General features: G+C 38.9%; 1 protein-coding gene across 4 annotated transcripts in view; it reads left to right on the forward strand.

Moving 5' to 3' along the window:
* RRM1 (ribonucleotide reductase catalytic subunit M1) overlaps positions 1–25,065 on the forward strand; it is a 44,248-nt gene that overhangs the window by 15,546 nt on the left and 3,637 nt on the right. For 2 of the 4 annotated variants that reach the window (NM_001318064.1, NM_001033.5), the window contains 13 exons: positions 1,371–1,410; positions 1,670–1,832; positions 8,090–8,231; positions 9,615–9,698; positions 11,374–11,535; positions 11,911–11,990; positions 12,953–13,154; positions 16,454–16,603; positions 16,805–17,026; positions 18,844–18,920; positions 22,056–22,191; positions 23,333–23,428; positions 24,852–25,040. In NM_001318064.1, the coding sequence (NP_001304993.1) occupies positions 1,371–1,410; positions 1,670–1,832; positions 8,090–8,231; positions 9,615–9,698; positions 11,374–11,535; positions 11,911–11,990; positions 12,953–13,154; positions 16,454–16,603; positions 16,805–17,026; positions 18,844–18,920; positions 22,056–22,191; positions 23,333–23,428; positions 24,852–25,040 (1,743 nt within the window). Of the gene's footprint in view, positions 1–1,370; positions 1,411–1,669; positions 1,833–5,847; positions 6,131–8,089; positions 8,232–9,614; positions 9,741–11,373; positions 11,536–11,910; positions 11,991–12,952; positions 13,155–16,453; positions 16,604–16,804; positions 17,027–18,843; positions 18,921–22,055; positions 22,192–23,332; positions 23,429–24,851; positions 25,041–25,065 lie in introns of those variants that run through there. The other 2 variants (NM_001318065.1, NM_001330193.1) reach the window with 2 other exon arrangements.

Below are 25,065 nucleotides of genomic sequence, written 5' to 3' on the forward strand. Positions count from 1 at the left end.
CAACCTCTGTCTCCTGAGTATAAGCAGTTCTCCTGCCTCAGCCTCCTGAGTGACTGGGACTACAGGCACACACCACCATGCCCAGCTAATGTTTGTATTTTTAGTAGAGACGGAGTTTCACCATGTTGGCCAGTCTGGTCTTGAACTCCTGACCTCAGGTGATCCACCCACCTTGGCCTCCCAAAGTCCTGGGATTACAGGCATGAGCCACTGCGGCCAATTTAGTTTAAATTTCAATTTAAAGTGCCTATAACAGGCTGGGCATGGTGGCTTACGCCTGTAATCCCAGCACTTTAGGAAGCCGAGGCGGGCTGATCACTCGAGGTCAGGAGTTCGAGACCAGCCTGGGCCACGTGGCGAAATGCCTTCTCTACTAAAAAATACAAAAATTAGCTGGGCATGGTGGTGCATGCCTGTAATTCCAGCTACTTGGGGGGCTGAGGCAGGAGAACTGCTTATACTCAGGAGACGGAGGTTGCAGTGAGCCAAGATCGTGGCACTGCACTCCAGCCTGGGTGACAGAGTGAGACTCTGTCTCAAAAAAAAAAAAAAAAAAAAGTGCCTGTAACAGACCAGGCACTGCTCTAAACAACATATACACTCATTTAATCCGCTGAGGAATCCCTGATGTATATGTTGCTCATTTAATCCCCATGAGGAGTCTTCAGGGGATTAAATGAGTGTAACGAGTGTATATGTTGCTTAGATCCGTGCCTAGTCTGTTACAGGCGCTTTTTAAGTGTTAGCTGTTGTGAAGTTGATGATGATGATGAATACTACAACTTCTGTTAATGTGTGTAGAGCTGGCTTTTTCCAGAAATTTTCATGCAGTCTCTGCCGAAACAAAAGTGCCAGTGAGGAGGCTGAGATGGGAGGATTCCTTGAGCTTAGGAGTTTGACACCAGCCTGGGCAACACAGGGAGACCATGTCTCTACAAAACGTTTTAAAAAGTTTTTTTTAAAAAAAGTGCCAATGATAATTCTGGCTAACATGACGAAACCCTGTCTCTACTAAAAATAGAAAAAAAAAATTAGCTGGGCCTGGTGGTGGGCGCCTGTAGTCCCAGCTACTCGGTAGCCTGAGGCAGGAGAATGGCATGAACCCGGGAGGCAGAGCTTGCAGTGAGCTGAGATTGCGCCACTGCACCCCAGCCTGGGCGACAGAGCGAGACTCTGTCTCAAAAAAAAAAAAAAAAGTGCCAATGATAATGTTCCAGATGAAGCTAGGAAGAGTAAATGTGCTATTCTTTTCATTTGAAATTTTATAGAAACGGCGAAGATTTAAAGAGATTGCCTTATTGTGGATGATATATCCACTGCGTCTTTAAAAACGGTGCTCTGAAAATTTTTTGTTGTTTCTCTCTTTCTAGACGCTAGAGCGGTCTTATTTGTTGAAGATCAATGGAAAAGGTGAGAAATGAACATGTTTGTCTGTTACATTTTCTACTCATTATATTGAATGTATAGCTTTGAGCTATAAGTCTTAATATTCTTGCTTAGACTCTAGATAACATTTTGGACTTTAGGTTTAGTTTGTGGATAATTGTCCTGTTTATTAGTATAAAGTTTTTCTAGTTTCCTTTTGGTGTCCTTTTCTGAAATTCAAATACGTATCTCAACCTACTTTTTCTGACGTCTCATCATGTGAAAACTCCTCTTTTGTCTATAGTGGCTGAAAGACCACAACATATGTTGATGAGAGTATCTGTTGGGATCCACAAAGAAGACATTGATGCAGCAATTGAAACATATAATCTTCTTTCTGAGAGGTGGTTTACTCATGCTTCGCCCACTCTCTTCAATGCTGGTACCAACCGCCCACAACTTTCTAGGTAGGTGTTTTGAGTAGGGAAATACGCCTTGACCTGAAGAAACTGGGCAGTTAGTTCATCACATAAAAAATAATTTAATGACCTTTTAGTAGCTGCCTGCTCTGATTAAATGAGATTTAGATTCTGGAAAGATCTCTGACTGTAATGTGGTAAATGAATTGGAGAAAAGGCAAATGCTTATAACAAAAATGTTCTAAAATTGATTGGATTGTGGTGATGGTTACACAAGTCTATGAGTATATTAAAAGCCATTGAGTAGTACACTTTAAATGGGGAATTATATTATTTGTGAATTATATTCCTTTTTTTTTTTGTTGTTGAGACAAAGTCTCACTCTGTCACCCAGGCTGGAGCGCAGTGTTGCGATCTTGGCTCACTGCAACCTGTGCCTCCTTGGTACAAGCAATTCTCTTGCCTCAGCCTCCTGAGTAGCTGGGATTACAGGTGCCCGCCACCACACCCAGCCAATTTTTGTATTTTTAGTAGAGATGGGGTTTCACCATGTTGGTCAGGCTGGTCTTAAACTCCTGACCTCAGGTGATCCACCCGCCTTGGCCTCCCAAAGTGCTGGGATTGTAGGCATGAGCCACCACGCTTGGTGTGAATTATATTTCAATAAGGTTGTTTTAAAAAGAAGGTAAGTGCCAAGAACTAGTTAGGGGACTCTTATAGCAGTTTATATAAGAAATTGTGGTAGTCTAGATTAGGGAGGTGAAAGTAGAAATTGACAGAAGCAGATAGATCAAAAGATATTTAGGGCCAGGCATGGTGGCTCACATCTGTAATTCCAACACTTTGGAAGGCTGAGGTGGGAAGATCACTTGAGGTCAGAAGTTCAAGGCTGCCGTGAGCCATGATTATGCCACTGCACTGTAGCCTGGGCAACACAGTGATACCTTGATTAAGATAAAAATATATATAAAAGATATTTAGGCTGTCAAATTGACAGAATATGGGTCAAGAATGGTTCTTGCATTTATGGATACAGTAAGTAACAGGATTAATGATGATGCCATTTGTTGAGAAAAGGAACACTAACGGTCTGGTAATACATTAAAAAAAAAAATATGCCATTATCAAGTTGGTTTGTTTCAGGAATTCAAGAACATGGTAACATCAAAAAATACATTAATGTAATTCATTGCATTAACATTTTATGCAGTTTAATGCTCTTTCATAATAAACACTTTAGCAAAATTGATATAGAAAATAACTTCCTTAATTTGGCAAAAGATACCCAATAAAAACCTAGATGTATCGTCTCTTTTTTCAGCATGGTAGTGGAGGCCTGAGCCAGCATTGTAAAATAAGAAAAAGAAAAGATTGGAAATCAGGGAACAAAACTGTAATGATTTGAAGAAATGATTTTTACATAGGAAACTCAAGAGCATCTGCAGACACATTATTAGAAATAAAAGATTTCAGCAAAATATCTGGATATAGGTTCAATATACATCAATCAGTTATGTTTCTGTACTTTAGCTGTTAGAAAATTAAGTCTTAACCTACAGCCATGCATTACTTAACGATGGGGATATATTCTGAGAAATGTGTTGTAAGGTGATTTCCTTGTGCAAACATTATACAGTATACTTAGGTAAGCCTAGATTGTATAGCCTACTACACACATAGGATATATGGCATGGCCTGTTGCTGCTCATAGGTTACAAACCTGTGTAGCATGTTACTGTACTGAATACTGTAGGCCTTTGTATTACCATGGTAAGTATTTGTGTATCCAAACATATCACAGTAAAAGTACCCTATAAAAGATAAAAAATGGGCCAGGCGTGGTGGCTCACGCCTGTAATCCTAGCATGTTGGGAGGCCGAGGCGGGCGGATTGCCTGAGCTCAGGAGTTCGAAACCAGCCTGGGCAACATGGTGAAACCCTGTCTGTACTAAAAATATAGATATAAAAAAACTAGCCAGGCATAGCAGTGTGCACCTGTAGTCCCAGCGACTCAGGAGGCTGAGACAGGAGAATTGCTTGAACCTGGGAGGCAGAGGTTGCAGTGAGCCAAGATCGCGCCACTGCACTCCAGCCTGGGCAACAGAGCGAGACTCCGTCTCCAAAAAAGAAAGAAAAGATAAAAAAAAAGATACAAAATGATACATCTGTATAGGACAGTTATCATGAATAGAGCTTGTAGGACTGAAAATTGCTATGGGTGAGTTAGTGAGTGAGTGGTGAATGAATATGAAGGCCTGGCTGGGCGTGGTGGGTCATGCCTGTAATCTCAGCACTTTGGGAGGCTGAGGCAGGTGGATCACGAGGTCAGGAGTTCAAGACCAACAGGGCCAACATGGTGAAACCCTGTCTCTACTAAAAATACAAAAATTAGCTGGGTATGGTGGCAGGCGCCTGTAATCCACTACTTGGGAGGCTGAGGCAGGAGAATTGCTTGAACCTGGAAGGCGGAGGTTGCAGTGAGCCAACATCGCACCACTACACTCCAGCCTGGGCAACAGGAGCGAAACTCTATCTTAAAAAAAAAAAAAAAAGGAATATGAAGGCCTAGTACATTACTGACGACTGTAGACTGTACAAACATTGTGCACACTAAATTTATTTTAAAAATATTTTCTTCAATAATAAATTAACCTTCGATTACTGGATGACCACTGTCGTATGTGTAGTCCATCGTTGACTTTTTTTGTTTGTTTTTAAGACAGAGTCTCACTCTTTTGCCCAGGCTGGAGTGCAGTGGCATGATCTTGGCTTACTGCAGCCTGCACCTCCCAGGTCCAAGTGATTCTCCTGCCTCAGCTTTACAAATAGTTGGGATTACAGGCGTGCACCACCACACCCAGCTAATTTTTGTATTTTTAATACAGACGGGGTTTCACCATGTTGGCCAGGCTGATCTCAAACTCCTGACCTTGAGTGATCCGTCTTCCTTGGCCTCCCGAAGTGCTGGGATTACAGGCATGAGCTACCATGCCCGGTTTTTTAAGTTTTTTAGAAATTTCTCTAAAACATGATTAAAGGACATTAAATAATAAATAAATGGAATAGATTCAATTTTATAAAAATGTCAGTTTTTCCCAAGTTAAAATATAGATTCAAAGTAATTCTAGGCAAAATCTCAACATACTGATTCTAAAATTCATGTGAAAGAGCAAAAGACTGCCCAAAAATGTCAGGTCGAAATTCCTGGAACCTGTAAATGTTACCTGATAAGGAAAGTGGTCTTTGTAGAGATGATAAGGATTTTGACATGGAGAGATTATCTTGAATTATGTGGGTGGGCCCTTAATCCAATCAAAAGTATCCTTGTAAGAGAGAGGCTGAGGGAGATAACGACTCACAGAAGGGGAGAAAGTGATGTAAAGATGGAGGGAGAAATTGGAGTCATGTGGCCACAAAGGAGAGCAATTAGCCACTAAAAGCTGGACAAAGCAAGGAACAGATTCTCCCTCAAAACCTCTGGAGGGAGCACTCCAAAAAAAAAAAAAAAAGTGAGTTGCAGACATTGTGACTCTTGATACCTCCACTTACCTTTTTTTTTGAGATGGAGTTTCGCTCTTGTCACTGAGGCTGGAGTGCAGTGGCACGATTTTGGCTTACTGCAACCTCTGCCTCCCGGGTTCAAGCAATTCTCCTGCCTCAGCCTCCTGAGTAGCTGGGATTACAGGCACGCGCCACCACACCCAGCTAATTTTTGTATTTTTAGTACAGATGGGGTTTGTCCATGTTGGCCAGGCTGGTCTCGAACTCCTGACCTCAGGTGATCCACCTGCCTGGGCCTCCCAAAGTGCTGGGATTAGAGGTGTGAGCCACTGCGCCTGGCCCTACTTCCACTTATATCTCGATAGGAGAATATATAATATGACCTCAGAGCAAAACACCATAGAGCAAAACATTGGAAAAATTGACTACAATTAAAAACTTCTGTGTGAAAGGCAATGGAAGGGCACCGTGGATCAATAAGGCCGAGAGGCGAGACAAAGAGGGCAAAAATCTTCTTTATTGAGCTCTCGGGCGAGGTTCACTGGTCCGCAGGGGGAGGGCCAGGGAAGTCTCGCTGTGCCAAAGGTGCAGCGTGCTTTTATGGATGCTGGGTGAGGAGTGGTCAGGGTAGGGGCAGGGTCGGTTGAGTTTCACGCTTCTGAGTGTGACACGCCCTAGTGGGCATGTGCGTTAGTCGGGGTGGCAGGAACAGGAAAGGTGAACCCGGAAATGCTGAGTCAGGGTGTCCGAGGTGGCGATCGCCATCTTGGAGTCTTCACCGGAGTCCAATCACTGTGAACCAAAAACGAAGTCAAATAACAAGTTTCACACTTTGGGAGGCCAAGGTGGGTGGATTACCTGAGGTCAGGAGTTCGAGACCAGCCTGGCCAACATGGCGAAACCCTGTCTTTACTAAAAATACAACTATTAGCCAGGCGTGGTGGCGTATGCCCATAATCCCAGCTACTCAGGAAGCTGAGGCATGAGAATCATTTGAACCTGGGAGACGGAGCTTGCAGTGAGCCAAGATCATGCCACTGTACTGCAGCCTGGGCAAAAGAGTGAGACTCTGTCTCAAAAACAACAACAACAAAAACACCCAAAAAAACAAGTTTCAGACTGGGAGAAGATATTTGCAACATGTTAACTATTGAGAGATTATAAGAAAAACAAGGCCAGGTGCAGTGGCTTCTGCCTGTAATTCCAACACTCTGGGAGGCCAAAGCAAAGGCTGGCTTGAGGGCAGAATTTGAAACCAGCCTGGGCAACATAATGAGAGCCTGTCTCTACAAAAGTAGAAAATTAGCCAGGCGTGGTGGTGCACACCTGTAGATTTAGCTACTTGAAAGGCTGAGGTGGGAGGATCGCTCGAGCCCAGGAGGTCAAAGCTGCTGTGAGCTATGATCATGCCACTGCACTCCAGCCTGGGTAACAGAGTTAAACCCTGTCTCAAAAAAAAAGAAAAGAAAAGAAAAGAAAAACAGAAAGCCAAATAGAAACATGGGCAAGGGCTATAAACAAATAATGCATGGAAGAAGAAACTTGATTGGCTAATAAACGTCTGAGATGTTAAACTGTGCAATAGGAAAATGAAAATTATGTATATATATATTTGATAAAAATGAAAAGGCTGACAATTCCAAGCACTGATAAGAATGTGGAGCACAAGGAAATCTCATACATTGCTAGAAATAGATTTGTCCATCCACTTTGGAGAATCTTTAGTAAAGTGAAACGTGTATATCTTTTGACCCAGCAGTTCCTCTCCTAGGTTCATATTCTACAGAAATGCTTAGAGATAAACACAAGGTGTTGTGTTCAAGAATTTTTATAGCAGCATTGTTTGGAATTGCAAATGAATTGGAAATAATCCAGATGTTCATCAACAGGCACATGGGACAAATGTTTTGGTATATTTATACAATAGAATACCTTATAGCAATGAAAATAAAGTTTGTTTACATATATCAAAAGGATTAATTTCTGTAAAGCAATATTGAATTAAAACAAGTTGCAGAATGATAAACAGATATGCAACCAGAAAAATTCTAAGTGTATAACATGTAAAAATGTCATAAAGGAAATGCTTGAAAATGTTAGAGGATTGCAATGAGGGTATATTTGTGGTGTCTAATTTTTTGAGGTAGGTGGCAAGTACAGAGTATTTGTTACATCATTCTCTATATTTTTCTGAATGTCTGAATATTTATATAAACACCTAGTCAATAGATAGAATCCATTTGCATGATTGAATATTCAAGGCAGTGAAGAGATTATTGATAGAGTAAGGTTCCTGAGGTGGGGAGCAGGATGAGATCCAAAGTGAGGTAAAGGGGTTGTCTTTAAAAAGACTGTAAAGGAGCTATGATTTTGGTAGACGTATCAAAGAATTGGTTGACAATTGGAGAGATTATTTTCATAAATGTTTGTTTTTCTTGGCTTACTAACAACCTGAAAAGACGGTGATGTATGTTTATGAATATGCATGAGAAAATGTGAAAATAGCACGTTTGCAGTCTGGTGAAAATGTAAGCCAATATTTTAGACTTATCTATAAGACTTCCTACTAGGCTTATTTACTTACTATCTAGGGGAGGCAGCAAGATGATTTTAAAATGATATTTCGATATGTTTTATTGTGTCATGTACAGTAAAGTGGGTTTTCTTCTTTGAAAATCATTTAGGAACTTTCTAAACTTCAACTCTTTTTTTTTTTTTTGCCTTAGTGTCTTTGTGTTGAGTAATCATTTTTGTGACTCTGCTTCATTTCCTTGCTCTAAGTTGAGACATTTTTTCCCCCGTAGCTGTTTTCTTCTGAGTATGAAAGATGACAGCATTGAAGGCATTTATGACACTCTAAAGCAATGTGCATTGATTTCTAAGTCTGCTGGAGGAATTGGTGTTGCTGTGAGTTGTATTCGGGCTACTGGCAGCTACATTGCTGGGGTAGGTTTCTGCCATTTGACTTTTAAAGGGGGATTCAAGTCTAAAAGCAAACAGATTCATGGTTGAGAGGGCATATGCTATTTTTTGGGAGTCCTGGGTCTCTGTTAAATTACTAAATGGCTATGTGACTTGGAGTGAGTCATTTTACTTCTGGCTTCATTTTCATCTATGATATTAGATATTTAGATTTGACTAGATAATCTCTAGAATCCTTTTTAGCTCAGGTTTTAGAATTCTGGCTTATTTTAGCAGTAATAAGAGCAGTTATCATTGATTGATTGCTTACTGTATGTTAAGTTTGTTATAAATGTTTTACATGAGGTACTCATTTGACCCTTACTACAACGCTATGAGGTAACTATGATTATAGACTCATGCCAGGAATTTTATTCCTTAAAATAACCTTGTGAATAAAGGTACCATTGTCTAATTTTACAAGTGAGGAAATTGAGACTTAGAAAGTTGTTACTTTCTGAGATCAATCACTTAATATGTGGTAGAGCCAGGATTCAAGATTTATGCATTGACACTTTATGATGTAAACTTTAGCCCTTTGTTAGTTTACTGTTCAATGGGAGTCAAGATAATAGTTTTGGATTTAAATCCTAGCTCCACTACTTAACTAGTAATGTGGCCTAGAGTTAGTTATTTTGTGTCTGAGTTTGTTTCCTTTTCTGTAAGGTGAAGAAAATATCTAACTCTGTAGAATAAAGTTCCAGAAGGAAATTATTCCATTATGTTGTGTTTTGGAGGTGCTGTGATATATACAGCACTTTACACAGTGGTAGAGTGAGCTATTGCTCACTTATCTTTCTAGACTGTTTAAAGGCTTGTGTTGGGATCAGAAGGGTTAAAGAATTTGATGAAGTATCTTCTAGTCGTAGGAGTCTCTATTTTCTTAACATCATTCTAGAGTCCACTTATTGCTGAGAATCTCCTTTTACCTTATTTATTGCCCTGATATAGCTATCGCATATAATTCTTATTGTAAATTGCCTTGATTTCTTTTGGGAAAAAGGCATTGTAGTAGTGTTTATATTCTTTTTTACTCTACCCAAAGTGTATCTTTATATAACGACCTTTAGAAGATGTAGAGTTTAAATTTAGCTACCTTGATTTTGGATCCCTTTGGCCTGTAATTGTTACATCTCATTATAAATTAGAAATGCCATGAGGTAACTTAGTACATAATTGTAATTTATTCAACATTTTGTTGATTTTATTTGGGCATTTTTCCAAAGCAGAAGTAGAGATGGAGAGCAGGTAAAACTTCATAGATTGCTACCTAGAAATTAGGCATCTTTTTTGATAAAAGAATGGGGCCATTTTTTTCTTTTCTTTGCTGAGTGCCCTCTGTCATTTCTATCATGGTCTCTCTTTTAGACTAATGGCAATTCCAATGGCCTTGTACCGATGCTGAGAGTATATAACAACACAGCTCGATATGTGGATCAAGGTGGGAACAAGGTATGCTCCATGAATTGAAAGTACTGGAAATCAGAACTAAAGGTGATTTAGTCATATACACTTAAGATGGTTCATTTATGTGTAGTTTCTAATTACCTTTTTTTTACTTGTAAAATCAATTTGAGGAGGTATAATTATTTTAATATGCATATACTTTAAATGTACAGTTTGATGGGTTTTGACAAATGTATACACTTGTGTAATCACCACATTGATAAAGAGGTAGAACATTTCCATTACCCCAAAATCTTTTCTCCCTCATATACCTTTACATTCAGTCACCCCTGTCACCCCTACCCACACATACTTTATCCCTGGCTCTAGACAGCCACTGATCTATTCAGCTTTCTTACATGATAGTTCGTTTGCAAAGAATTTCTCAAGTTGTAATTCATATAAATTTGTTACTTGAAATGGGGTTGTAACATGTGCTCTAGGTTTTTCTTTCGTTTTTTTTTTTATCTCTCTCTTATCACCCAGGCTGGAGTGCAATGGTGCGATCTTGGCTCACCGTAGCCTTGACCTCCTGGACTTAAGTGATTCTTCTGCCTCAGCCCTCCCATGTAGCTCAGACTATAGGCCTGTGCCACCACACCCAGCTAATTTTTATATTTTTTGTAGAGGCGGGGGTCTCACTTTCTTGCCTAGGCTGATCTCAAACTCCTAGGCTCAAGCAATCTACCTGCCTTGGCCTCCCAAAGTGTTGGGATTATGGGTGTTAGCCACTGCACCTCGCCTAGGTTGTTCTTAAAACAAAAACAAAAACTACCTGGAATAACAAAACTCTCCCTAATTGGCTGGATGCAGTGGCTCCTGCCAGTAATCCCAGCACTTTGGGAGGCTGAGGTGGGCTGATCGTGTAAGCTCACAAGTTCAAGACCACGAGTTCAAGCTCACGAGTTCAACATGACGCAACCCCATCTCCACAAAAAATACAAAAATTAACCGGGTGTGGTGGCGAACGCCTGTAGTTTCAGCTTCTCTGGAGGCTGAGGTGGGAGGATGGCTTGAGCCCGGTAGGCAGGAGGTTGCAGTGAGCCGAGATTATACCACTGCACTCCAGCCTGGGCGGTAGAGCTAGAACTTGTCTCAAACAAAACAGAACAAACAAACAAAAACTCTCCCTAATTGATAGAAGAAACAGTAAAGTTGAGAGAATTGGGTTGTTTACCTTATTTTATCAACAGGATGGTTTACAACTAGAGTCTGCCTTTTGTGACTGTAGGCACACTAATCGCTTGTTGGTTTATGAATTTCTCTCTGATGGACTTTGGGGACCTTGATAAGACAGATCAACTTTTTGACCTACAATAAGAGCATGGCTTATACTGTCAAAGCAACTTCCTTTGGGCTTTATGTACATGTCATGTGGTGTAAAGAGAGCTGGGCTGTTGCTGAAGAGGAGGCTCCATCTGTAGTTCATCATGTCACTTTAGAAAAGTTAATCTTGTTTCACATTTTGTTTATATCATTCGTTCGTTTTTACTCATAGAATTGTAAAATATTACTTTTACAATTATATATGGAAAACTTACACTTTTATAATACTTTTATTTATGTTATTTAATTCATTGTAGTGAAAATCAAAGGAGATACTATAAAAGTGCTTTGGGAGACATGATGTTTCTTTGTTTCATTTTTATTCTGAAGAGAATTATGATTTATTTACCACTAGCGTCCTGGGGCATTTGCTATTTACCTGGAGCCTTGGCATTTAGACATCTTTGAATTCCTTGATTTAAAGAAGAACACAGGAAAGGAAGAGCAGCGTGCCAGAGATCTTTTCTTTGCTCTTTGGATTCCGGATCTCTTCATGAAACGAGTGGAGACTAATCAGGTGAGAGATAGGTACTTGTTGGTAATAGCAACTTGATTCACATGAGCTTTCTCTTTTTTAGTCATCTTAAGTCATGCTTAGGAAGAGCCCATATGTGTGTGATGCCACAGAAGGCATTCTGAACAAGTTAAGAGATGCCGTGCTTGTCTTCTTATATTTCTATTCTCTAAAGTAGATGCTTTGTGACCTAAATGCTTAAAAGGTCATGTATAAACAGGCAGACCTAGATGTTTGGGCCTGAACCTGAAAATGATTATTTCTACAGCAAATTTCCAAGAGAGCTTGTAAAAGTCACCTTATGCTTGCAGTGTTTCTAATGGATTATGGTTGGCTATTTGAAGTTTCTTATGAGTGATTTTGTCCTTTCCTTTTTAGGACTGGTCTTTGATGTGTCCAAATGAGTGTCCTGGTCTGGATGAGGTTTGGGGAGAGGAATTTGAGAAACTATATGCAAGGTATGGGAAAAATATGAAAGAAAACAATAATGTTTTAATCATGGTTTCTCTTATTTCAGGGGTCCAAATATCAAAAGTACTTGTCAAGAATCTTTTGAAGCATCTAAGAGAAAAAGTGACTAATAATTTTGGTCAGATTTGCTTCCTGACTCTTCACCAAAATTGAGTTGTGTCTTCTTCTTTCTTAAAACTTTGGAATGTATAAATAGGTTCTTGGGATTTTTAATTGATCCTTTTAAAATTTAAGATGACTAGTAGGGTTATTATTTTGCTCTGTCATATAGTACTTTTGATAAGCTATGCTTTATGTTGCATAAAGGAATCATGAGTGACTAGGACACATATGTCAGTAGTTTATTAAAATTAAATAGGTCAGGTGCAGTGGCTCACATCTGTAGTCTCAGCACTTTGGGAAGATGAGGCAGGTGGATCATTTGAGGTCAGGAGTTCAAGACCAGCCTGGCCAACATGGTGAAACCCTGTCTCTAGTAAAAATACAAAAATTAGCTGGGCGTGGTGGTGCACACCTGTAGTCCCAGCTACTTGGGAGGCTGAGGTAGGAGAATTGCTTGAACCTGGGAGGTGGAGGTTGCAGTGAGCTGAGATTGTGCCACTGCACTCCAGCCTGGGTGATAGAACGAAACTCCGTCTCAAAAAAAAAAAAAGGAAAAAAATTTAGCACAGTCTTAAGAGATTTGGCTTCCTTAGTTTTTACTCCTTTTTATTATGAAAGATATTATTGGTTTAGTGGGATTGCGATCATCTGAAGGCACCTAAAACTGCCTCATTTTCCCCTATGGCTTTAGCTAGAGTAAAATAAATATCATATTCCTTTTTTTCTTTAGCAAAACTTAGAGAAAATTTAAGAGTTTTCATAACTTTATATTTTAATGTCTTCAAGTTGTCTACAATAAAGTTTTTTTAGGGAATATATATTAAATAATATTATCTGTGCCTTTCAGTTATGAGAAACAAGGTCGTGTCCGCAAAGTTGTAAAAGCTCAGCAGCTTTGGTATGCCATCATTGAGTCTCAGACGGAAACAGGCACCCCGTATATGCTCTACAAAGATTCCTGTAATCGAAAGAGCAACCAGCAGAACCTGGGAACCATCAAATGCAGCAACCTGTGCACAGAAATAGTGGAGTACACCAGCAAAGATGAGGTAGGTAGAAAAAATTCTTCCTAGAGTACTAAGAAGAGAACCTTAGGCAGTTATTATTTGTGAATTCCTCACTTGATTTCACTTGAGATAAGTGAAGGGAGTTTGCATAGTTGTAAGCAGAAGAACACTGTTAAAGGCAGAGAGCAAAGGAAGGAAAGGGTATGATCTGTGCCTATAAATGTTTTTTAGTCTAAGCCGTGTGGGAAAGACACAGTTTTTTCTTATACACACATCACTGTAATAACATTTACTCAAGAAAAATAGAAATATACAGTTATGTTAGTTTAGGACACACACAAAAATGTGTTAGGATGTACATTCAATTTAAACTATGTAAGCCTTGAGCCTGGAAAGTGGAGGCTGCAGTGGGCTGAGATTGTGCCACTGTACTCCATCCTGGGCGACAAAGTGAGACCCTGTCTCAAAACAAACAAACAAAAAACCAAAAACAACAACAACAAAAGTATGTAAGCTTATAAAGAGAGTCCTTTCAGTGAATGGTGAGATCAAATTCTAATCTCAAGTCTGTAAAGAGACTTCACAGAAGAATCAAGGCTAGAAATGGGACATGGATTTGGTGTTTTAAAAAAAAGTTTGAGAGAGGAGCTTTCCATTTGGAAAGAGTGGTCTGTATGATACACCAGAGACAGGGCTGGGTTTTATGCAGTGTGGCAAGTAAGTCTGTTTTGATGGTGCAAGTAGATTAATTATTGGAATATGGAGAGATGGCTATGGCTGGGGGAAGGGAGATAGAAGGTAGAAGCTGACACGTCACGGATAGGTAGCCCTTGTAGGTTTCTGAGAGGAAAATAGCATCAAAATGTTAAGATGAAAAGGAAGGTTCTTGCTTCTGGTTACAGAGTGTCTTGCTGTGAGAAGGGATTAGAGGTTAGCCTAGGGAGATTGTTGTACTAGTTGGATGACAGGCTGCTTTGATCTTGGATGTAAACTATGGAAACGAGGAAGGAGTAGATCCTCAATTCTAGGACCTTAAAAAAAAAGACAAATGAAAAGTCAGGAAGTAAATGGAAAGTGAGTTAAATATACTGCTAAGGTTACAGTTTAATTCAAAATTTATTGTGCAGTAGCTATATGTAAAACACAATGTTAAGTGCTCTGAGAATATAAATAAATATGCTGCCCTCTGGAAACTTCTAATTTAGTTGGAAGACATCGACATATATTGAGGTAACTATTATGCAAGACAGATTATATTATAGAGGCTAGAGTGACATTTTTAAAATAAAAATCAGATAATGTCATTTGTCTGCACAAAACTACTCTTTGGCTTGCTAACCCATGCAGAATTCCTTTTTTTTCGGGGGGCGTCAAGATTTCACTCTGTTGCCCAAGCTGGGCTGTGGCTCACTGCAACCTCAACAGAGTTCTTTCTTTTTGCAAATTGAGCTATAATTCACTCTTTTTAAAATGTACAATTCAGTGTTTTTTTTCTTTTCTTTTCTTTTCTTTTTTTTAGTATATCTGCAAGTCTGTGCAACCATTACCACTATCTAATTGTAGTATTTATTTATTTTATTTTTTTTTTTTTGAGACAGAGTCTTGCTCTGTCACCAGGCTGGAGTGTAGTGGCTCGATCTCGGCTCACTGCAACCTCCGCCTCCTGGATTCAAGCGATTCTCCTGCCTCAGCCTCCCGAGTAGCTGGGACTACAGGCGCGTGCCACCACACCCAGCTAATTTTTGTATTTTTAGTAGGGACGAGGTTTCACTATGTTGGCCAGGATGGTCTCAATCTCTTGACCTCGTGATCCGCCCACCTCAGCCTCCCAAAGTGTTGGGATTACAGGCGTGAGCCACCGTGACCGGCCTGTAGTACATTTTTATCACTGTAGATAATGAAACCCTTTATCCATTAGCAGTCACTCCCTGTTCCCTTCTTCCCTCAGCCCTTGACAACCACTAATATATTTTCTGTCTCTAGATTTGTGGACATTGTGGACATTCCATAGGAATGGAGTCATATAATATGTGGCCTTTTGTGTCAGGCTTCTTTCACTTAACATGTTCTTTTATTCATGTTGTAGCATGTATCAGTACTTCATTCCTTTCCATCCAGAGTTCTTACAGTGCCCTACAAGGTCCTACACAACTGGATAACCCACCTCATCTGCGGTTACTTTCCCCTTTGTTCACTTTGCTCCAACCCTATTAATTTTCTTGCTTTTTCTCAAACATGTCAACCATGCTCCTACCTCAGGATTTTTGCTCCTTCTTCCCTCTTGAATGTTAAAATGCACCCCCTCTTCCCATAGCCACATGATTTGCTTTCTAACCTGTTCAGTTCTTTGTTCATATGTAACATTTTCAATGAGGTCCTTCTTGACAATTCTGTTTAAAAATTATACCCCCTTCATCTTTATCCCCAGTACTCTCTGTCTTCTTTTCCTGCCTATTTTTCTTCCTGGCATTTATTAGACTTCTGTGATTCAAGCTATATTTAAAAAAATGGGTATTTGGCAACATGTGTAGAATGGAGTAGATGTGAAGGGCATCAAGAGTTCAACTGGGAAACTTTCAGTAGTCCATGTGAGAGAAGTTAAGACTTTGGCTTGGGATAGTCATAATCAAAATGGAAAAGAAAGTGTATTCATTCAACATTATCAAGACTTACTGTGTGCCAGATGTGTTGCTAGTGCTAAACATATAAATATAAATAAGATGATCCTTGTGTGAAGAAGCTCACTGCCTCGTGTAGTGGAGAAATCACTGGAAGAGCTTTTTCAGAAATCACAAATTGAGATCCATTGTTGCTAAGGGCTTGTCAGAATATCAGTGAAGGTGAGGTGGACGTGTGTGTTTTGAAGAACTCTGCAGTGATGGAAATGTTCTGTATCTGATGGCTATTGAGCACTTGAAATATGACTAGTGCAACTGAGAAACTCAAATTTTATTTCATTTTAAATAGATATATGTAGCCAGTGGCTACCATATTGCAGGGCACTCATCTACTGAATAATGAGATAGGTATATGTAAAAAGCTAATTATAACATAGTGTGATATATGTCTGGTAATAGAGCTGTGTACTGTGGAACATAGGGTTCTCTCTCTCTCTTACCTATTTTGCTGATGCATGTTATAACTAACACATATGACTAGGTATTGAAGAAATAGAATCAGTGGGATTTAGAAATGGACTGATGAATGATGAAGAGGGAGAAGTCAAATATAAAAATTTAAAATTTTAATGTCTGAGTATTAGAGGCTCACATGGTGGTGTAATTGACACAGGAAGTAGAAATAAAAATTGTGTGATTCTTGACCTGTTTTTTGCATTCCAGGTTGCTGTTTGTAATTTGGCTTCCCTGGCCCTGAATATGTATGTCACATCAGAACACACATACGACTTTAAGAAGTTGGCTGAAGTCACTAAAGTCGTTGTCCGAAACTTGAATAAAATTATTGATATAAACTACTATCCTGTACCAGAGGTATGAATAGATTTCTCTGCTTATTGGTAATTATTGAAATCCAAATTGAAAGGAATCAATCATGATCTTCAAGTCATCATTTAAATGGTTATCAATAAAATGGTTTGAGAAAAAGAGGTAGTCTGTCTCATTTGGTACAGAATGTTGCTTTTCCTGTTCAGTAATGTTTTCTCCTTTTCTTTAAAATCTGTTGACACAAAGGCATGCCTATCAAATAAACGCCATCGCCCCATTGGAATTGGGGTACAAGGTCTGGCAGATGCTTTTATCCTGATGAGATACCCTTTTGAGAGTGCAGAAGCCCAGTTACTGAATAAGCAGATCTTTGAAACTATTTATTATGGTGCTCTGGAAGCCAGCTGTGACCTTGCCAAGGAGCAGGGCCCATACGAAACCTATGAGGGCTCTCCAGTTAGCAAAGGAGTAAGTATATGGATGGAATTGTTTTTGCCTGTGAGTACCTGTAGTGGGCTGAATGGTGACCCCACAAAAGGATATGTCCACATCCTAATTCCTGGAACCTGTGAATTTAATTTCATTTGGTTCAAAAAAAGGTATTTTGCAGATGTAATTAAGAACCTTGAGATAAGGAGATTTACCTGGATTATCCAGGTGAGCCCTAAATCTAATGACAGTTGTCCTGCAAGAGGCACAGAAGGGGAAGCAACGTGACTATGGAGGCAGAAATTGGAGTGTTACAACCACAAGCCTTGGAATGCTGATAACCACTAGAAGTTATAAGAGGCAAGGAACAGAATCTCTTCTAGTGCCTCTGGAGGGAGTGTGGCCCTCCCAACATGTTGATTTTGGGCTTCTGGTCTTCAGAACTATGAGAGAATAAATTTTTGTTAAGTTACCAAGTTTTTAGTAATTTGTTGCACCAGCCATAGGAAACTTAAATACCTTTGTCCTCTGGAGTAAAAAGGATACTCTGTTTTAATCTCTTATTTAGAACTAGTCATTGCTAAAATAATGTAAGAGGGATGCTGCCAATGTTAGTTTTCTGTGGGTTAAAACATGGCATTCGTTATCTCACAGTTTCCACAGGTCAGGAGTCCAGACTTAGCTTAGCTGGGCCTTCTTTTCTGGGTCTGTGTTCAAGATGTTGGTAAGGGCTGTGATCTCGTCTGAGACACAGAGTTCTCTTCCAAGCTTACCTGGTTGTTGGCAGAATATATTTCAAGGACTCATGGCATCTTGCTTCTTTAAGGCCAGTGGGAGAGACCATCTCTCGTTTCAAAAGGGGCACAGTCTAGTCTCTTTTGAGGGTTTTCACCTGATAAGTTAGGTCCACATAGGATAATGTCCTCACCACCCCCCTGTCCCGCTTTTTTTTTTTTTTTTTTGAGACAGAGTCTCACTTTGTTACCCAGGCTGGAGTGTGTGGTGTGATCTTAGATCACTGCAACCTCTGCTTCTCAGGTTGAAGCAGTTCTGCTGCCTCAAGTCTCCCGAGTTAGTAGAGATGGGGTTTTGCCATGTTGGCCAGGCTGGTCTTGAACTTGTGACCTCAAGTGATCCGCCTGCCTTGGCCTCCCAAAGTGCTGGGATTACAGGCATGAATCACTGCACCTGGCGTAATCTTCCTTTTATTTAACTCAGAATCGGCTGATTTGCAACCTTAATTACATCTGCAGAAACCTTTCACCTTTGCCATAATCGCTGGAGTGACATGCATCCTATTCTCAAGTCATGTCCATACTCAAGTGGAGATTATAAATAGCCTGTGCACCAAGGTGTGGGAATCTGGGAAGCTGTCTTAGAATTCTGCCTTTCCCACTGCCTTTATTATCAGTACTATGATTCTTTACTATATAAAATGTTAATTTCATTTCTGACATTCCTGCTGATATTAGAAAATCTAATGTGTGGTTATTAGAAAATAGGTGTTTTTAGCTAAGTAAACAGATCAAGGGACAGATGAAGGCACTGAAGAAAGTAACATTTTTAGTGTTAAAAAAAGAGAATGTGTCAGCCACACCCTTTTATGAATGTTAGAGTTTTCTGGTTTGTAGATATGACATGGGATAATCAGTTTTCTTAGCCTGCTTCTGATCAATATGACTACATGGAATTTTGTCCAGGAAAATCTCTGGAGCTTGTATTCCTCATAGAGGTTGATTAGAAGACAGCATTTGTTGGGATGTGGGGACATGGCAGCTAGTCATTTGTGGGTTTTTTTTTTTTTTGGTCATAGTTTTAACTTGCTGTAGAATAAATTTGAGTTGTGTATTCCTTAGATTCTTCAGTATGATATGTGGAATGTTACTCCTACAGACCTATGGGACTGGAAGGTTCTCAAGGAGAAGATTGCAAAGTAAGTGAAAAGATGTAAAGTAGCTTTGAAGGCAGAAGGGTTTAGGTTCACCTTCTGGATCTTCAGAAGTTAGATATGTCATTTTAACTTCTTAAACTCATTTATTACAAATGGGGCTAAAATGGCCTATCTCACAAAACTATTTTGGGAAAAAACTTCGTAAGATAATATATATAGTAACCTGGAAGTTGCTTGGCACAATGAAAGCATTTCAGTACCTGGTAGGAATTACTATTATTAGTTGATCTTATTTTAGGGACTTAACACACCTAGATTAGGTAATTTTCTTTCTCATTAAGGCTTTTTTCCAACTATGATTTTTTTTTTTAAATGTTTTTCATTCTTATTTATTTCCCAATTTAGTTACATCGGGCATATAAATGGCTTTTGTTTGAATTGATTGTCATAGGAATAATGGATTTTGGAAGAGTTTTTGGAGGGTAATGTGTTTAGACTATATGAAAAAAAAATTTTTAAATTGAGTTTTTGTAGGCCTTTCAAACTAATAAGCATAAGGGATTCGAAGGCAGACAGAATGTTTTGCAGAGTGAATAACAAAGCAAATTGTTTTTGTTTTCTATCGTGATGACTTTGTCATTTATGGGTTAATGCATATGCAAAGTGATTAATATTTGGAGAATGAAGCAGTAGCTTTAAAATGCTCTTTAAAAAAAATAACCGTTTGCCTTAAAATTGTTAAATTAAAATTGTTTTCCTACTCAAATAATACATGTTAGAAAATTTAGGAAAACATAGATTTGGAAAGAGAAAATGAAAATTATACTAATACTGCCTCCCCCAGAAAACCTGTGTGCATCTTAGTGTCTGTCATCCTTTAGGTTTTCTTCCAAGAGTACACATACATGTGTATTTACATGGAAATTCAACTTTTAAGAAAATGGACCTGTACTGTATTTATATATATATATATATATATTTTTTTTTTTTTTTTTTCCCCTCAAAATACTATGGCTTAGTTTTTTATATACATGACTTTTTTTCTAATTTCAAAATTAGTATATGAACACAAATTTATTATTAATAAAGCTCAAATACAGAAATAAAATAGAAAGTAAAAGCCCTTCTTCATACTTCTGCCAACCATTTGTCTCAGAAAACAAACCAAAAAAGTAACTTATTCTTTTTCCCAGAGATAAGACTTGTTAATGGTGTGTATTTTTCTAGATCTTTTTCAGTACATTTGCAGATAGGTACACATACACGGTTTTGTCATATAAATGTGATCAAACTTGATGTATTCTGGGCTGGGCACCATGACTCACGTCTGTAATCCCAGCACTTTGAGAGGCTGAGGTGGGTGGATCACTTGAGGTCAGGAGTTCAAGACCAGCTTGGGCAACATGGCGAAACTTAGTCTCTACTAAAAATACAAAAATTAGCTGGGCGTGGTGGTGCATGCCTGTAATCCCAGCTACTTGGGAGGCTGAGACATGAGAATCACTTGAACCTAGGAGGTGGAGATTACAGGGAGCCGAGATCATGCCACTGTACTCCAGCCTAGGTAACTGTGACTCTGTCTCAAAAAAAAGACTTGATGTATTCTGAGACTTGTTATTTAGTGATTTATTTTGGAGCTCTTTCTCTTTTAGTACCTGTAGGTCTACCTAATGTTTTTAATTATTATAGACAATTCCATAGTTTGAATATATCATATATGTAGGACTTTTCACAACATTTACCTGTCTGTAGACAGATGATGTTGCTATTTTACAGATGAGGAAGTAAAGACATGAAGATAGTTGGTGGTTTGCTTGATACCTCACTACAAAGTGACAGAGTAAGGTGGAGAACCACCCCCCAAAAAAAGTAAATAAAAAAATAATAATAACTAAAAAGTAGAGAACCCAGTTGTATTAGTCGATTCTCACACAGTTATAAAGAACTGCCTGAGACTGGGTAATTTAAAAAGGAAAGAGGTTTAATTGACTCACAGTTCCGCAGGGTTGGGGAGGCCTCAGGAAACTTACAATCATAGCAGAAGGGGAGGCAAACAGGTCCTTCTTTAATACGGCGGCAAGCAAAGTGCTGAGTAAAGGGAGAAAAGCCCCTTATAAAACCAGATCTTGTGAGAACTCACTATCTCATGAGAACAGCATGAGGGTAACCTCCTCTGTGATTAAATTACCTCCCGCCAGGTCCCTCCCGTAACGTGGGGATTATGGGAACTACAGTTCAAGATGAGATTTGGGTGGGGACACAGCCAAACTATATCCAGTTGTACAGACTCCGTCAGGATATGAGGCTGTATGCTAAGCACTGTATGAATCCATAGGTATAGAATGTAGGAAAGACAGGCTCTTTGTGTTTTAAAAACTTGAGACTAAGAAAACAAGTAGTTAAGGTATACGGAAAGGTACAGGTCAGAGAAAATGTTTGCAGAGTAGATATTTGTATTTGACATTTGTATTTGTGCCTGCCTGATGAGGAAAGATGTTTTAAAATTGCTATCAATTAGGCTGAGCTTTGAAGGTGAGCCAGGGGCAGTTGGGAGATTTCTCAGTGTGTCAGATAGTGTATTTTCTCTTATTAGTCAAAAGATGTTAACCTTCTTGCAGGAACTTATAATTGAAGAATATACTTTGAGCATAATTTCTTCCTCTTTACAGGATAATGGAGAATTGTGGTGATATTTCTCTGATTCTGAACACTTTCTCATCATTATTTTTCCAGAAGGGGCCTAGCACAATGATTTTATAGGCACTTGGAAAAGAGTGAGGGTTGGATGAGTGTAACCTAATACAGGTGGGGAGCGCTTCAACAGTGATTTGAATATTTCCCTACGCAAGATAGTGTATCAAGTGTTATGATTCCTGAGTGCCACAGTCCAAGTGGCATAAATCATGGTATGATAAGGATAGCCAACAATAAAAATTGTACTAATTCAGTTTAGGAGTCAGGCATTTAAGAGGAGAGTGGGCTATAATAGCACCCATACTGTGGAATTGCCTCCCTGTAGGAGTTTAATTTGAAAGTCAACGTGTGAGTTCAATGCATGTACGATGTTACATTTACATTTACTACATTTATCTACATTTACTACAGTGACTTAAAGTAGCTGCTTTCCTGGCAGATTGTAGCTTTGGGACTAGTACCTGATAATCTCCTTTTCTTTAGGTATGGTATAAGAAACAGTTTACTTATTGCCCCGATGCCTACAGCTTCCACTGCTCAGATCCTGGGGAATAATGAGTCCATTGAACCTTACACCAGCAACATCTATACTCGCAGAGTCTTGTCAGGAGAATTTCAGGTGAGCAGTTCACAACCAGCCTTACAGGGAGATCTTTCAAAAGCCTGATGTTGGGAGTAAATGCTCACTCATGTTTAATTTGCCCATTTTCTTAGTTTGGGTGCAAACTTTGATAAAGACAGTCATCTTCATCTCTAATATTATTATTTGTTATTAATATTTCAGCACAATAGGCATTTAATAAATAATCTGTTGAAAGAATGAGTGAATGAGGGTCGAGTATGAAAGTAAGTTGTTGATAGTTAAACATGATGTTTAACCATTATGTAATCATAGTGATATATTCTATAACTTCTCCCAGATGCTTAAGTTAGGATACTCAAAATGTATAAAGAAGTATCATTTAAGGCAGTGGTTCTCAGACTTGGTTACCAATTAGAATTTATGGTGGGTGAGACCAGTGGTTTTTTCTTTGTTTTTAAGGTTCCCAGGTAATTCTTATGTGTAGCTAGGGTTGAGAACCTCAATTTAAAAGACTATTTGTGAATTTCCAGATATCTTGAAGTAAAGTTCTGTAAAGTTCGAGAAGGATACGTTTCCAATTTTTTTAACCTAAGTATTTATAGATTTACCCATCTTAGGCGCTATTCTTTTCACTTTTGCAAACGCCATATGTTTCTTTTTTAATGAAAATATTTTTTCAGCTTTATTAAGGTATAATTGACAATAAAAATTGTGTATAAAACCAAGGTATACAGTGTAATGATTAGATATGTGTATATATTATATAACGATTACCACACCACAATGTTTTTGTTGTCGATACTGTTTTTGAGAAAATGTCTCACTTTGTCACCCAGGCTGGAGTGCAGTGGCATGATCTTGGCTCACTGCAGCCTCTGCCTCCTGGGTTCAAGCAATTCTCATGCCTCAGCCTCCTGAGTAGCTGGGATTACAGGCATGCTGCGCCACCATGCCTGGCTAATTATATTGTTTCTTGAATAACAGATGTCAAGATCTTAAAGGAATATAGCTTTCGTGTGGTGGCATTGATGTCTCGTCTTTATAAAAGATAGAATTTACCAAGCAATCTAGCATTAAATAACTCTTAAGTGATTTTAGTTTAAGCTTCAAAGCTGTAGTCTTTTCTAAGCAGTCACTGTTATTTATTTCTTCATACATTTTCTGCTTTTCCATTCAGATTGTAAATCCTCACTTATTGAAAGATCTTACCGAGCGGGGCCTATGGCATGAAGAGATGAAAAACCAGATTATTGCATGCAATGGCTCTATTCAGGTATAGAATGAAAATGAAGTGTGCTCTGCAGGGGCTGAGTTGGACATTGTGGTACCTCCTCACTCATGCTAGACAATGGAGAGAATGACTTCATTGTGTTCATCTAGGTTTTGCTTGTGTAGCTCTGTTCACCTCTGCATTGTTGTGCTAGGATTGTACACATCTTTACATAACCCTTACCATCTTGTTTTTATGCAATAATATAAAAAAGTAGTTCTCAATTTTTCTGCATCTTAGAATCAACTGGGGAGCTTTTAAAATCCTGAAGCTTAGGTTGCATTCCTTACCAATTAAATGTCTAGGAACAGGAACCAGACATCAATTTTTTTTTTTTTTTTTTTTTTTTGAGACGAAGTCTCTGTCGCCCAGGCTGGAGTGCAGTGGTGGAATCATGGCTCACTGCAACCTCTGCCTCCTAGGTTCAAGCGATTCTCCTGCCTCAGCCTCCCAAGTAGCTGGGATTACAGGTGCCTGCCACCACGCCCGGCTGTTTTTTGTATTTTTAGTAGAGACAGGGTTTCACCATATTGGCCAGGCTCCTGACCTCAGGTGATCCGCCTGCCTTGGCCTCCCAGGGTGCTAGGATTACATGCATGAGCCACCGTGCCTGGCCTCAGACATCAATAATTTTTAAAGATTCTTTTGGTGATTCCAAAGTATATCAAAATTTGGGGGATCATAGATAGAAAGACTGAAATTAAGAGAGTCAAGCTTAATTAAAAATCATGGTTGACGACTGATAGTCCAAAAGACAGAGTCACAAATCGTGTAAATATTTGCAACTAAGAGTCAAGAGGCATTTATTTGCAGATAGAGGTGTCTGGCTAAATGTTGGTCTGCTTAGCAACACAGATGAAGAGTCCTATAACAGTTCCATATTTAATGACAGAAACTGTAGCATTAGCCAGTCTGTGTGTTTTAATGAAAGTTAACCCTAGGCCTAAGAAAACCTGATTTTGGATTCCAAAGGGAGTTTGAAATCCTAGCTTATTTAAAGGGTTTTATCTCATTGCTTCCCTTGGTCCCTGTGAATTACAGCCCTTATTTTTTGTGTTTTCTGCAAAACTCAAGGGTCATTTATTGCTGCTTAGCTCTGACTTTTCCTTTCTTTAAGTGCCTCTAGAAGAATGAATGTTTGGGTCATAAATCAATTAAAAAATTAAAAAATTGGTTTATGACCAACAAAAAAGGGATGCTGAAATTACTATCACCAGATTGATATTTGGTTGGTTAGATGGGGGTTTTGTTCAACTTTCTAAATAGTCTTGGTAAACTTGATAAGGATCATATCATATGATACTGAATGGTAAGGTCAGATCTGGCAGGAAGTAAAATGAAGATCAAAGCTTGTGTCACTATTCTATTAATCATACACTGCTTTCTTTAACTGGAGTAAAGTAAACATTGGGTTTTCCTTCTTTAGAGCATACCAGAAATTCCTGATGACCTGAAGCAACTTTATAAAACTGTGTGGGAAATCTCTCAGAAAACTGTTCTCAAGATGGCAGCTGAGAGAGGTGCTTTCATTGATCAAAGCCAATCTTTGAACATCCACATTGCTGAGCCTAACTATGGCAAACTCACTAGTATGCACTTCTACGGCTGGAAGCAGGTTGGTAGAGAATATCAAGGAGTAC

The sequence above is a fragment of the Homo sapiens genome, chromosome 11 (assembly GCF_000001405.40).
Source record: "Homo sapiens chromosome 11, GRCh38.p14 Primary Assembly".
NCBI classification, from domain to species: Eukaryota; Metazoa; Chordata; class Mammalia; order Primates; family Hominidae; genus Homo; species Homo sapiens.